The sequence below is a fragment of the Homo sapiens genome, chromosome 6 (assembly GCF_000001405.40).
Source record: "Homo sapiens chromosome 6, GRCh38.p14 Primary Assembly".
Classification (NCBI taxonomy): Eukaryota; Metazoa; Chordata; class Mammalia; order Primates; family Hominidae; genus Homo; species Homo sapiens.
This window is the reverse complement of record NC_000006.12, coordinates 125,548,283-125,564,482: the sequence shown is the minus strand read 5'-3', so window position 1 is coordinate 125,564,482 and position 16,200 is coordinate 125,548,283. Positions and strand designations below refer to the sequence as shown.

The 16,200-nt window shown below is 37.7% G+C and overlaps 1 annotated feature.

The window, feature by feature from the left end:
* Nucleotides 14,767-15,374: an enhancer, noted in NCBI's record as "NANOG hESC enhancer chr6:125870255-125870862 (GRCh37/hg19 assembly coordinates)". NCBI's record gives its function as "activates a minimal SCP1, AML or CMV promoter by ChIP-STARR-seq in primed H9 embryonic stem cells {active_cell/tissue: H9 hESC(primed)}" and the evidence as "EXISTENCE:reporter gene assay evidence [ECO:0000049][PMID:30033119]".

Sequence of the window (16,200 nt, the reverse complement as noted above, 5' to 3'; positions counted from 1 at the left end):
TCATTATTACTTGTGTTTCCTGCACATTTAGATCTTGATTATTCAAGGACTGATTAATTATGTTGCAAATCATCCAGGCACTCTATTTCTTTTCCTTCCCACTTCCTATCTCTTTTTGATTTTTTAATTTATCTATTCATGTTTTGCCATTTTACAGATTAACTCCAACAGTCATCAGAATAAGGCTTGTGGGAAGAGAAATCATAAAGGAAAAAGCAGTCACATGTTCCGTCATTTGTTCATTGCTCTGATTCATGGTTGTAGAAGAGAGTATGCCAACATTTAGGACTAAAGTTAGATTTTACTTGTAGCTGTGGAATTCAGTGATCTATTATCTGTTACTCTAAATAAACAGTTTGGTGGGGAAAGTGGCTTTCCCAATGGTGTGTTGAGAATGTCTAATAATCTAAGTTGGGACAAAAATGGCTTCCCTCATATAAGATAGTTACCACTCCTGATTATTTGTAGTGGAGCATCCAGAAAGGAAAATTCCCAGTTCTCTCTGGGAATATAATTTGCCAATCATATAACATGCTCTTTTTATTGGGGGGAAGCACTATATCACTTCTTGGATGCAGAAACCTTTCTCCAATCAGAGAATGCTTAGACAATAAAGGTGGGTGACTTGGCTACTCCACTGAATTCTGAGAATGAGGTGGGGTGACATAGAGGGGAGGGCAGTTAGGAGACAGATTCATGATGGAGCTATCAGAATGAAGAAACAGTTGGAGTTTTTGTCCTAACATACACCTTTCACTCTGGTGCTTCATTCTACAGAGAAGATTCTTGGTATTTTTCAAGTGACAATAAGATGAAAAACTATTTTTTTCCTCCTCCAATGTGCTTATGAGAAAATATTACAGCAGTGGTTCTCAACCAGGGGCAATTTTTCCTCCCAGGGGACATTTGGCAATATCTGGTTAATATAATTGAAATCATTAATGACATCAAGTAGAGACCAGAGGTGCTGCTAAACATGCTATAAAACAGAGGACAGAACAACACAACAAAAAATTATCCAGCCCCAAATATTAGTAGTTTCAGTATCAAGGTTAGAACTCCTGAGCAGAAGCATCCATTTAGAGTTCTTAACTCCCTGCCCAGGTAATAGATACACTTTAAAAAGCCAGCTTTTCTGGAGGCATTTCTCTATCCATCTCTCAGCGTGGGTAAGAGAAAAAAAAAAAAAAAAAAAAAAAAAAATATATATATATATATATATATATATATATATATATATACACACACACACACACACATCTACTCCCTTGAGGAACCTCATGGGTGACACAGTGACAATGTCTTCATATGAAACCAACTTCAGTAGTGATTATGATCACCAATATTTCCTGGAGAGCCTAACAGAGAAAATAAAGCATTTGGTGTGGTTTGTTTTAACTTGGTTGGCATATCACAGGCAAAGCAGTGTGATAGGTACAGCAAGGTAACAAAATGTTGGGCATACAATGGCTAAAAAGACAGACATTGCCACTGACACCAACTTCTATGGGAGAAAAAAAGCTACTTCAGAAATGATCATGGGGGAGGTGAGAGTGCATGGGCACATAAAGAAGGACGTATGTTCTACAGTTTAGGGGCTAGAAAGGACATCAGGAAGAAAAACAAAAAAGTGGACAAATGGATAAATTGTATTTAGTTGCTCTTGGTGGGCTGCAGTAGATAGTCACTGACATCAGTAATAGACCCCATCTGGCCTGGTATACATCATACTACAGAGAGTTAGAAAACACAAAATATATTGTTTACCCCTTTTTTTCCTGTGAAAAAAGTCTACTGATATCTCTGGGGATATGGGTAGACTTTGGGGATATTGGTAGACTTTTTCCCTACTTGTTGCATCATTTGAAGTGTGCCCTGTAATGATTTTAATGTGTTTTTTATGGGCTAAGATGCTAATTGTAGTATCTCTTTTATTGTAGCTTTCAAAGTTATTTCACGCATTTGCTTTCCACCTTCTCATTTTTAGCCTCCAAGAATTTCAATAATAATAAACTGTAATGTCTTCAGTATAATGCTTTGCTGAGTAAGATGTTCTGGCCCTCAGTCTGTTAGAAAAATATCTAATTGCTGGTGAGGCTGTGCACTGTTGGTGGGAATGTAAATCAGCATAGCCATTATGGTAAACACTGTGAAGGTTTCTCAAAAAACAAAAAATAGAACTACAATATGAGTCAGCAGTCTTACTACTGGATATTTATTCAAAGGAAAGGAAATCAGCTTATAAAAGGGATATCTGTACTCCCATGTTTATTGCAGCACTGTTCACAATAACCAAGCTATGGAATCAACCTAAGTGTACATTAACAGGTGAATAAATAAAGAAAATGTGATATATATATATATAAAACATTATATATATAAAATGTATCACATATATATCACATTATATATATATCACACACATATATATCACATTGTATATATCATATATACACACACAATAGAGTATTATTCAGCCATTAAAAAGTATAAATGCCAGCTGGGGGCGGTGGCTCATGCCTGTAGTCCCAGCACTTTGGGAGACCGAGGTGGGTGGACCACAAGGTCAGGAGATCGAGACCATCCTGGCTAACATGGTGAAACCCCGTCTCTACTAAAAATACAAAAATTAGCTGGGCATGGTGGTGGGCGCCTGTAGTCCCAGCTACTCGGGAGGCTGAGGCAGGAGAATGGCGTGAACCCGGGAGGCGGAGCTTGCAGTGAGCCAAAATCGTGCCACTGCACTCCAGCCTGGGCGACAGAGCGAGACTCCATCTCAAAAAAAAAAAAAAAAGTATAAATGCCCTGTGATTTGCAGCAACATGAATGGAACTGGAGGTCATTATGGTAAGTGAAATAAGCCAGGCACTGAAAGACCAGTATTACATGTTCTCACTCAGATGTGGAGCCAAAAATATGGGTGTCATGGAGGTAGAGAATAGAGTGATAGTTATTAGAAGCTGGAAAGAATAGAGGTAGGAGGGAAATGAAGAGAAGTTCATTGGTTGGTTAATTCATACCAACATACAGTTAGATAAAAGGATGTCCTAGTATTTGAATGGCACAGTAGGGTGACTATAATTCACAGCAATGTACTGTATATTTTAAAATAGCTAGAAGACTTGAAATGTTCACATCACAAAAAATGGCAAATGTTTGGGGTGATGGATATCCTAAATACCCTGATTTGATCATTACACATTGTATGCATGTATTAAAATATCACATGTACCTCATACATATGTATAATTATGTACTAATAAAAACATTTAAAAAGGAAAATATATAAAGAAATTTATTTGTCTACAAATGGGAGTAAAACTAGGTGATTCCTTCATCTTGAAAAAAATGTAAGTTCACCCAGGGAAGTTTCATATGTGGATATATTATTCTATGGGAGCATAGATATATCTGAGGGAGGTCAGTAAGATCAGGCCATCAGTCAACAAATGTTATTGGTAATTCCTTTTTATGAAAATGAAAAGTATATATATATATATATACACACATATATAAAAATTATCTTAATATATATTTCACATATTACACATATATATGACAATATTTTACTTATTGTCAAACATCCTATGGGGGGCAAAAAAATATTATATACATATTTTCCCCCTCAGGCCAATTTGTATATAAGCAGTGTTTATGAAAAAAGTCAATTCGCTAAACTCATTGATGACTCCTGATATGGTTTGGCTGTGTCCCCCCGCAAATCTCATCTTGAATGGTAGCTCTCATAATGCCCACATGTTGTGGGAGGGAACTGTTGGGGGGTAATTGAATCATGGGGGTGGGCTTTTCCTGTGCTGTTCTTGTGATAGTAAGTCTCACGAGATCTGTCCCTTGCACACTCTTGCCTGCCACCAGGTAAGACATGCCTTTGCTCTTCATTTGCCTTCCTCCATGAGTGTGAGGCCTCCCCAGCAGCCATGTGGAACTGTGAGTCCATTAAACCTCCTTTTCTTTATACATTATCCAGTCTCAGGCATTTCTTCATAGCAGTATGAAAATGGACTAATACAACTCTAAGTTTCATCTTAAAGCTCTTTCTTGGCCTAAATGACTTCATACTTTATCTGTTTCACCTGCTAGCCATCCAGTGTCTTCACCCAAAATTTTTAACTTGTAGCCTCAGGGGAGAAACCCAGATGCCAAGCTCTAGTTTTCCTTGTTTGTCATAACAAATTACTACAAACTGGGTGTCTTAAAATGAGAACAATTTATTGTCTCACAGTTCTGAAGACCAGAAGGCCGAAAATTCAGGGTCAGCAGGGCCACACTCCCTCCAAAGGCTCTAAGAGGATTCATTCTTGTTCCTTTCTTTTTGCTGCTTCACGTGAGCGTTGGCATTTCTGACTCTGGCTTTACATTGCCTTCCCCTCTGAGTCTCTTTGTCGTCTCATCCCCTGTTTCTTATAGGAGTGAACCCTAAATCCAGGATGAGCTCATCTGGAGTTTTTTTTTTTTTTTTTTTTGAGATGGAGTTTCTCTCTTATTGCCCAGGCTGGAGTGCCGTGGTGTGATCTTGGCTCACTGCAACCTCCACCTCCCTGGTTCAAGCAATTCTCTTGCCTCAGCCTCCCAAGTAGCTGGGATTACAAGCATGTACCACCACGCCCAGCTAATTTTTTTTTTTTTTTTGAGATGGAGTTTCGCTTTCGTTGCCCAAGCTGGAGTGCAGTGATGCAATCTTGGCTCACTGCAACCTCCGCCTCCCGGGTTCAAGTGATTCTCTTGCCTCAGCCTCCCGAGTAGCTGGGACTACAGGTGTGTGCCACCACGCCCAGCTAATTTTTGTATTTTTAGCAGAGATGAGGTTTCACCATGTTGGCCAGGCTGGTCTTGATCTCCTGACCTCGTGATCAGCCCGCCTCAGCCTCCCCAAGTGCTGGGATTACAGGTGTGAGGCACTGCAGCTGGCCTCATCTTGAGATTTTTAATTACACCTATATAGACCACTTTTCCAAATAAGGTCACATTCACAGGTTCCAAGGATTAGGGTATGGACATTTATTCTGGGGGGTCACCAGGCAACCTACTATAGTTACCTTTCCCCAAACCACACAGTCATCTATGCAATCTTGCTAACTCACAACTAGGATGACCATGAGAGGTTTTCTGGGATGTGGGAGTTTTAGGTATGAGGTATTTCCTGGGACATAGGACAGTAGAAGGAAAGTTCCAGGCAAACCAGAATGGTTGATCACCAAATAGCAGAACAGAGCCTGAGTGACCAACGTGTCCATCCTGGAGGCTCAGAAGTCACTGTAGTACAGGTTGTGGGGACAATGTCAAAACAAGAGGAAGCAAATACCTTTGAGAAAAAGCAGCCCCAAGCTGCTCCTTCTCCTCCTTCTGACCTTTCTTTGACAGCTGTGATGAGTCAGAACTTCTGCTGGAAGGTGAGCCGGTGAGAGAGAGCATCTGTCTGTGAGAGCCACTCTCCCGACATAATTTCTGCTCACCTCATTACCTGTTGTCAACCCTGCATTTTCCTCAGTTGTTTGTGTTTCTCAATGCTGCATGGCAGGGGCAGCTGGCTAGTTACATTTTAGCCACTATGGCCAGTGATACTTCAGCATAGTGTTTCTTGGGGAGCTAGCAATGCTCTACATTGTGCTAAAATGCCTTTCCTTTTTTCTGCCTCCACCCCTCCCTCATTAACCAGCTCAGCCTCCTGAGCAGGAGAGTTGAGAGAAACAGTGAGTTAAGCTGGGCTTTGATCTTCCAGAGAGGCAGTGTCCCTTTCTCTGTCTGCTTGGACCAGGGGTCACTGGGTGAGCAGCAGCAGAGCTGACCTCAGCCAGGACCTGCATGCTTCAAGTGGCCAGCTTTGAAGAGTTCATCCCAGCCAGGGACAATGGAAGGGGTCTGGCGTTCGTGCGCCGTGGAGACGCCTGTGCACAGCAGCCCTCTACCTTGTCCTAATGACTCTGTCTTGAGAACAAGATAATCCTGCCTTCAAACCAACTGTTTGAGCTTCTGGCACTGCATATATCCTCTTCTGAACTGAAATTTCCCGGCGATGGGCTGGATCTGGTTGCATTTTTAACCCCATTTTATTTTCCATGCTGAAAAAGATAAGCCTCCTTGTGGGAAAGCAGCTGCTTTGGATCAGGTTAGAGGCAGTAAATTTAAAAACAAATGTTAACATGAGTGAAATTATGAGTTCAGGACATGATTGTGATTATGAAATGCCCAGGCTTTCTGCTTTTGACACAGTCAGGCTGATTTTACCTTTCATTTACAATGATTTTGTATTTTTTCATGATTAAAAATTTTCATCATCTTATCCAGTGATTTACAAAAGATCCTTTGATCAGCATCACGTATCATGACGATGTTAAAAATTTATATGCAATGATTTTTTTGTTGTTGAAAACAAGCCTCTTAAATTAGATATTTCTGAGAATGAATTTCTATTCATTCATTCCGTCTTGATTTATTCATAGTGTTATTGAGTACATAGCTTTGTATACTTTTGAGTGGTTGCTGTCCATATTACAATATGCACGTATAACATACTACAGTCTACTGTTATCAGTTTTACTACCTCAGGTGAAGTGTAGAAAGCTTACTTACATTTAGGTCCTTACTTCCTTACTTTTTTTTTTTTTTTGAGACAGAGTCTCACTTTCTTGCCCAGGCTAGACTGAGTTGTATGATCATAGCTCACCACATCCTTGACCTCCCAGGTTCAAGTGATCCTCACCCCTCAGCCTCCCTAAGAGCTGGCGCTATAGATGTCCACCGTGCCCAGATAATTTTTAATTTTTTTTTTAAAGAAACGAGGTGTCACTATGTTGCCAGGGCTGGTCTGAAACTCCTGATCTCAAAAGATCCTTCTGCCTTTGCCTCCTAAAGTGCTGAGATTATAGGCATGAGCCACCTTTCTCAGCCCTTAGTTTTAATATATAATTCTCTTTATTTCGTTTAAGTATATTGATGACCACATCAGGTGGTCTTATAATTTTTGCCTCAAACATCTATTATAAGAAAGTCATGAGGATAGTCTATAATATTTACCCTTTTTACCTTTTATCTATTTTTGGCTGAAGGATGGTTTTGGGAACAATACTATGTTGTATCAACTGAAATATTCTTCCACTGATCTGGAGAAAGAAAGAAAAAAAAATCTCAATGCCTCTAGGAGAATAAGGTGGGGCAGAGTTGGAAGCTCTTAACTGGTTAAAGAACTGCAACCAGTTCTAAGGGGAAAACTCCCACCTCTACGAGGGTGGCAATAGCCATGTGAGCTTGGCAAGTTACTTAACCAGCCTGAGGCCCAATCTCCTTACTTGTAAAACAGGGATAATAATACCAACACTGAATGGTGGTTGTTGGAATTCAATGATATTGTATGTGAACAACCTGGTAGAATAGTTAATCCCCTTTTATCTGGCCTTTCTTCCTCTTTCCCTTCCTTTGGTGAGCCAAAACTCTCATGGTCATTACTGTTTGAAATACTTAGTTTTAGATACACAACTCTAGACACAGTCAGAAACTTGCTGATTTAGCATGAGGAACCTTTGGTTTACAATCAGAATGACTGATGGTGACACCTTAGTTCTAGTCTTTCGGGCCCAAACCTTGGAGTCATCCATGACCCACCTCTGTCTCTCAAACCCGGCATCCAGCATAAACCAAGTTATGGGCTTTATCTTCAAAATCTGTTCAGAATCTGACCACTTCTCATCACTTTATTGCTAACACCTGGAGACAGCCATGTTGGTCTCTTACTTGAAATATTGCAATAGATTCCTAATTGGTCTCTACGTTTACCTTTGTTCTCTTCAGTCCACCCATTCTCAACACAGCAATTAGAGGTGCTTTTGTGCTTTTCAAATATGATTCATATTGTGTCTTCTCAAAGCCCTCTACGGCTCCCCATCTCACTCAGAGTGAAAGCTAAAGTCCTTACAATGGTCTTCAAGACCCTCTACAGTCTGGCTCCCTTGATTTCTCTGATTTCATCCTTTACTATTGCTGTTCTTACCTCATTCGCTTCCACCTACTCTGGTCTTATATTTCCCAGAGCATGGTCTGGTATCCTCCTGTCGCAGGGCGTTTGCATCTGCTGTTTCCACTGCTTGGGATGCCTTCCAGGGCTTGCTCCTTCATCTAGCAAGTCTGGGCTCAAATGACACCTCTCAGTGAGGCTAACCCTGACCATACTACTAAAAACTGCAAGATTCCACTTTCTATTCTTTATCTTTGAAAATACTTCCTAATATCCTACTGTATTTTGTTGAATCCTCAGTGTTATCAATGAAGGTTTATGTCATTATTTTATGGGCCACTGTAAAGAAAAATATCAACAAGTAACATATGACTCACCATAAATTTTAGAATGTACTAATTTACATGTTTTAAAGTGTGGGAAAAAAGTGTGTATTAAAAAAATCAATAAAACATGATACTCGATTTACTCATTTATTTTGTTCTGTGCCTGTTTTTGCTATGAAAATGTAAACTCCAGGAGAGTAAGGAATTTTGTCTATCTGTTTACTGTCTAGCACAGGGCCTGAAACCTACCAGGTACACAATGCATATTTATTGAATGAATGTGTACGACATGAATCCCACCAAAAGTAACTGTGGTGATAAGACATAGACTTTCTAAAATAGGCATTGTATAATGAGAGCCAGTTCAGTAGCAGTGCCCTAAGCCTGTGCTCTGCAAATCCTCAAAGGAAAGGAGCAGAATATTCTTGCTGAAGCTTTTAATTACAAACATATTGTGTAGCTAAACCTGATATGTGTCAATAAGTAGCAATAAGACCCACCTCCATTCTTCCCTTCACAGCACGAAAGGATATTTAGAAAGGAAAAGGAAAGAGGATTTAGGAGTAGGTTAAGGGTTCACTTTCCCTGCACTATATAGCATAAACATTTTTTGTACTCATGTGCCTACACTTGACCTCTTCTTTCCCTCTTTCACCCCAGACCTCTGTAACAGCTCCATGACAAGGGCATCTAATCATTTCTAGCATGCAACAACATTTGGTTCAGATTCTGTTATCAGTATTACCTTTTCTTCTCTCCTGCGTGCCCCACCTCTGCCTTAAAGGAGACCTGGAATGGACCTCAGAGATCAGTGACACGTCCACCACTTCTTCAAACACTTCATGTAGAAAATCTTTCAGAGATGTGATTGTGGGACCCTAGACTTGGAAAATAACTGTCATCAAGCCCTTTACGTCTGTGAAAGGAATTTATTCCAGTGACATTGCTTGGCCCCTGGGATATATTTTATTGTTGGAAAAAAATTTAAGTATACAATTATTATGGACTTTTTTATGCAGTTAAAATTAATTCAGCTAATCTCGATTTATTTCCATTTGGTAATTATAAATTCACTTATTTAAGTAATTTGAGAACTCTAATTTAGTCTCTCTTGATAGTACAATATGTATAAAAGGTTTTTGAAAAGTTGATTTTTGACTTTAAAAGATGTATGAATGGCATTATAGTAATTTGTTAACATGTTGCATAGAGTCAATGCATTTTCATTATGTAAAAGTTATATAAAATTAAATTGTTTCTAGTATATTATTTTATATTTCCCACCATCATCACCTTATTAGTGTTCAGGGTAACAGCTCCAATTAAAATGAAACATCAAACATGGCTTTTAATTGACACTTAGAAAATTGAAGCTGCTTAAAATGTTGCCTTTTAAAATCAGAATTACTTCCAGATTTCTATAAAAAAAAGTACAAATTATTGTGTAGGAGCGAAAACTGATGTTTTTTCTCTCTGTTGACCTTTGAAGACATTCTTCATGATTCATTTGAAAAAGTATCACTTCTCTGAAAGTTAAGCAATTAGCTAAAGCTCTATGTAAACCCATGCTAGCTGATTCACTGTGATCCATGTTCCTTAATTAAAAGCAAGTGTTAGGAAAATTCCTCAAATATAAATGTAAATTCTCCCTGCACCAACTCAGCCTTTCTAAATAAGGTAAGAAGATATAATTACTATTAATACAATTAGTACAAAACACAGGTAATGTGTGTTCAATTCACACAGTTCTCAGAAGTCTTTAAAATTTAATCTTTCAATTTTTTTATGAAATTATAAGATGAGACATACATATTTCTTAGTATTAATTGTGATTCTTTGTATAAGTGGTTTGTTTCCTCCAATTTGTTATACAAAATATAGCAAGGTGAACAGCAGACAGGTGGAGAAATCTGAAATATTGAAAGCACAAACAATTTTTGGTCATTTAAACATTTTGGAAAAATTTAAAAATTTGAATTTTAATTGTTGTAATGGTCTTTGTTTTAAAGATTGTTTTCATTTTAAATCTATCTCCAACTTTAAATGTTTTTAGAGGTAGTTGCAACTACCATTAAATATTTTCTAGCTGCATTTTTAAAGAACATTTTTATAAAGATAAAACTAGAACCAAATTCTAAAACTAAGAGGTGTGTCACAGTCTCTAAAATGATGCCAAATTTAAAAGAGAAAAAGTTAAACAAGGACACTAGGAATGAAATAAATGTGAATCTTAATGATATTTTAATCTCAATTAAAATATATATTTCTCTTGAGCAAAGACTTACACATACATTTGAAAAAAGATGGTGCCTATAGTCCCAGCTACTCGGGAGGCTGAGGCAGGAGAATGGCGTGAACCCGGGAGGCGGAGCTGGCACTGAGCCGAGATTGCGCCACTGCACTCCAGCCTGGGTGACAGAGGGAGACCCCGTCTCAAAAAAAAAAAAAAAGATTTAGTTACTGTAAGTTATCTTCTTTTGATATTAGAGTTAAGTAGCATTATTTATTACATTGCAACGTGTATTTCCTATTTTAAATGTTTTTTTATAAATTAGTGCTTTAGAAATCATAAGAAAATATTTTATTTACATATTAGACACATTTGCTGAACAAAGTTTTTTGAGCAATAATTATTTAATTGAAAAAAATGGGAATATAATGTCAGCTTAGGGAAGAAAACCATTTTAAAAATTAAATGTCAAATACTGATGCAGGAAAGCCTGAATATATTTACCAATACATAAATTAATGAAAGCAGGTATTAGAATCCCCTCCAAAAGAAAACTCTATAAAGTTACTATTATTTTCACCAAAAAGGTAAAAAGACACCCTCCCATCACTACATTACTGAATATCTGATTTCAATTCTCAAACTGTATCATGTGTATAATTGTAAAAATTATAATTGTTACACATGCTTTATCTTTTCAATTTCCTAGCTACCTATATTTGGTAGCTCTTTCCTCTCCATAATTTTTATAATGTTTCTATTGATTGAATAAAAAAATCTAAAAATTCTATAAAAACAAATATTTCAAGATTGTGATGACATAAACTCACAGTTGGAAACAAAATGCAATTACTTTTCTTTTAAAATGCCTTTATAGTCTTACAATCATAAATTTAATAGCTATGTAGCCTACTCAAACATGTAACTGATAAGGAGTCTTATGTTTCTATGATTGGTACACATGCTTTATCTTTTCAATCTCCTATCTACACATAGGAAATACATTTCCTAGAATTTGAAGCAATTTTTTGCCAGAGTATACATGCATTAAATTTGTTAATTCCTATGCTATCGATTCTAGTTAGTTCTCAGAGGGTAAAAAGATTGGCCTGGTGAAGTAGGAGATTGTCAGACCATGTTCTCATTTCTCTTCCCTTGTGGGCATGTTAATCTTTCTCTTATGATGGACTACTGAGTCCTAGAATAAAAATCATTGGATTTTTTTTTTTTTTTTTGAGACAGAGTCTCACTCTGTTGCCCAGGTTGGAGTGCAGTGGTACTATCTCAGCTCACTGCAACCTCTGCCTTCTGGGTTTAAGCAATCCTCTTGCCTCAGCCTCCTGAGTAGCGGGGATTATAGGGGTGCACCACCATGCCCAGCTAATTTTTGTATTTTTAGTAAAGATGGGGTTTTGCCACATTGGCCAGGCTTGTCTCGAACTCCTGACCTCAGGCCGCCCAAAGTGCTCAGATTACAGGTGTAAGCCATCTCGCCTGGCCTGGACTCTTAATAACAGGAGTAACTACTACTATTTGGCCCTATGCCATTTTGTCACTTTAATTCCTTTAATTCTTACCACAGTCCTGGAGCAGGTATTATCATTCTCCTGTTGGAGTTAACAGAGTGATATACTTTGGCCAAGGTCATACATCTAGTAAAAATTGGAGTAGACATCCAAAACAGGATCTGACTCCAAAAACTGTGTTCAACATCACTGCCCCCTCTTGAGTCTAAAATATTGTTCTCAATTAAGGATGTCATTTGACACAAAGCCTAGAGTATTCTTTTTAAGTCCTATGTGATTATTGTTCAAAAAGTCTTCAAACAATATCCCACAATGTGCATTTCCTACTAGAATTGGTTAATTGATAGCTTGCTGTCTATACTCTAGACTGAAATTCATGGTAGGTCATCTGAAAGAAAACAGTGACTATTATTTATTGAGCTTTACTATGTGCTAGATATGATACTAGGTCCTTGATATACATTATCTTATTTAATATACACAAGAAGCACATCAAATAGTCCTGAAGGGATTTATAGTCTAGTTGGAGAGATGAGATATATATTTGAATGCAAAAAAAACATTAAAAAGGAAAATAACAATGATTGACAGCATCAAGCTGCATGTGATTAATTTCCAAATGAATCGTATGAACAACATGTGATGTGTTTAGAGAAGGGTGTGATCACTGTGAGCCGGCCTAAGTTATTGTGGACTCATTGAAGACGACTGTCTTATTGTATTAAATAACAAAGTTTATTTCCATTTGCTAAACTGCAGAACATGAAATCTAGAAACACCCTTGAGAGATCATTGTCTAGTTTGATTATAGGCTGAACACCTTTATCACCTGAGTGAGGTGGGGTAATATCTTATTACTCGAATAGTCAGTGACCGTTTACACAGTACTTTCATTTACACTGATACTTACATGACTTTATTTGATTGTTGAACCAATCAGGTGGAAAAAGGCAGACCTAGGAGTGTTTGCTCTGTTTTCCGGATGAGAACCTGCAGTTCTGGAAGTTTACTGAGTTGCTTCTGGTCACATAGTAATGGAAAGACCTAGAGATTTCCAGGTTTCTTTCTGCTGAATGCTGTTCATCTCCAATGCGCCTCCTCTGTAGAAAGAACCCAAATCCCTGGCAGTTAACCATACTCTGTCCATTGCTGGAGTCATAATTTCCATATCAGCGCCAGAAAGCTTTATTTGGAAATAAATGTAGCATACAGAGTCTTTGTTTTGTAGATGTGGAAGTAGTCGTAAGAATGGAAACTCAAGAAAAGAAGTAAATAAGCTGGTCACTAATGGCAACCCTTGAGTCACCAGCTTTGTTGAGGATATAATCATCAGTGCCTTTCCGTCCACGGTGAGGTGAGCTGATGCTGGCCACTTTTCCAGACTACGCTCATTGGTTTAATTGAGTAGTGCAAAGCACTGATAAGTTATCAACCCGCAACCCCAGTTTCCAGCCAGATGTGATCTAAGCTTCCAAACATTTGCACAAGGGGCCATTTTGAAGTTATTCTACCTTTACCCCCAATTTCTGGGTTTGCCTTTATTGAAATCAGCAAGTAGAAGTTTAAAGATCTCACAATTCCTCTCTAAGCCTATACGTGGGCCAGGAAGCCTGGGGCTGATGGTGGGAGTCGAGGATGGGGCAGGGCAAAGAACAAAGGCTTTCACCGAAGAGGAAACAGAGGGCATGTGAAGGGCTCTGACCTTTCTGATAAGCAGTGTCTGAAGAGGGTGAGCTTCAGTTTGTACAACACTCCATCCTCACTATCATCTCAGCAGCAGCTGCTGGGATGGAAAATATCCGCATCTTAGGATGCCAGTGCTCAGGGAAAGATGCTACCCTGCATTAAGCTTTTTGCCAAATCTGATTTTCTTCATCCCTACTCAGACAGGCTTCAAACAAAAATTCAAATCACAAGAAAGATCTGGGACATAGCTAAAGTTCCATTAACTGCTCAAACTTGAGAATCAGTGGAAAATAATCTATTTCTCTTTTAAATTTTCTTTAAATAAGAATCAACATTATTTCTCAAAGAAGTGCTTCTCAAACCTGGCAAAGCCAGCAGATGCTTTTATTTACAGCCCACATCCAACCATGTTTTTCTTCTTTCGGTTTATTGCTAACTTTAGACACAGAGTAGAATTTTAGATACATTCTAGAAAAGCAATATGACATAGAGATTCAGAGCATTGAAGCTAATTGCTAACCTTGGGCAAGTTGCTAAACTCTCTGGCTTTCAGTTTCCTTATCTGTAAGATGGGGCAGCGGTAGTACCTTTCCTGGTAGGGATGTGTGGGGAATAAAGGGTTAATACAGGTAAGCACTTGGAATAGTGCCTGGTTCAGAGCATGTACTCAAAACATTTTAGCTGCTCTTAGATCTTAAAAGAAATTCTTTTGGTTTACTGCTTTTCTTTTTCATATATTTAAAATTGTTTCTCTAATTCTTTAACATATTCTTGTATTGATATAAGAATATTATAACATTTTATTTATACTTGGTTTTGTTCTCATTTAATTTCAGCCAAGAAGTAAGTTGAGTTTTGTGGGCTTCTTGCAGGTGGAAGAGAGGATGGGCACTAACTATTTAAATGAAAGCAGGGTTTTATGTTTAAAATATTTCTAAAAGGTTGAATTCTATAGTTTGGACTCTTTTCTATCATTTGCTTTATTTATGTAATTGAAATACAACTACTATTTTCATCTCTGCATAAATGAGTCATTTTATTGATTTCAATCTACACGTCACATTTCCGGAAATCTTCCCGTTGTGGAATGTGAGGTACATTTATAGAGTGACTTTGCCTGTAGTTAGGGCTCTAATGGCAATCCTAAGCCTTGTCTCCAAGTCACCAAGCAGCAGCAAAGCAGCAGCTGCTACTCTGTTGGTATTCTTTTTTTCAAATATATTCATGTTCATGGCTGTACTCATATTGCTGCTAATTTGGAAGAAGGGCTGGGAGGCAGTTTCTTAGTCAACTAGCTTTCCTGAGTTATTTGAATTCACCCCACCACTCCCAGCAGCTATCAAGCTGTGCAGAATTATAGGGGATGGTTAACAGACAGCGGGAGGCTCAGAGAGGCCAAGAAGATGAAAAGGAAGAGCCTTCATTGCTTTTTGGGGGAGACAGAGAGTCAAAAATACATAATGTAAAATTTGCCATTTTAAGCATTTTTAAGTGTACAGTTCTGTAGCATTAGGTACATTTATATTGTTGTGAGAACATCACCATCATCCATCTCCAGAACTTTTTCTCCATTGCTTTTTAAGCCAGCCCTGCCCATTTTGGGGAACGTGGAAATCAAGAAGAGAACAAAGCAGATACATGGCTATGTCCTCTTCAGATGGAGACAGTTTTCCTTCCTTGCGATACCTATTCAAAGAAAAAGAGAAAACATAAATACTTTAACTTTGTTTCTGGGATATTCATTTGTTTTTCAAAATCTTATGATATTTCTATATAATAATTTGAAAAGGAATGTGAATTTTCAGATAAATTTTCTGTCATATATATCCCTCCTGAAGAAAACACAGAAGCATACCAGCCTCTACTTGTCATGTTAAACTTATCAGAGAGTAGCTGAGTTTTTGTGTTCTAGCTATATGCAACCTCCTTTCTCAAATCATATAAAATTATGAGAACAATCTTGCTTTATTACAGAAAGAAACTGTAACCTCAGAGCAGGTTTAGATTTACAATATGATTTTTTTTAAAATGCATTCAGAAGAACTTGCCAGGTAACCAATAAATGGTTGGATAAGAAAGACAACCTACCAGGAGAGATGTGGGAAAGAAATAACTAGAAGTTAAAATAAAATAAAAAACAAAGTGTATTTTCAATGTGTTGATGGTGCTAAAATGAACACTTAAAAATACTGCTTATAGAGAATAAATTGGTAAACCTGTGAGGAAAAAATATATATATATATATACAGACATATACATAATATATGTATGTGTTTATATATAGTACGTGTATGCATATATATGTATATACATATACATATAACCTTAAAAATGATCAAACACTTTGATCATAATTTCATTTCTAGGGAGTTGTTTTAAGAAAATGATCAAAGGCTGAGCGCAGTGGCTCATGCCTATAATCCTAACACTTTGGGAAGCTGAGATAAGCAGATTGCTTTGACC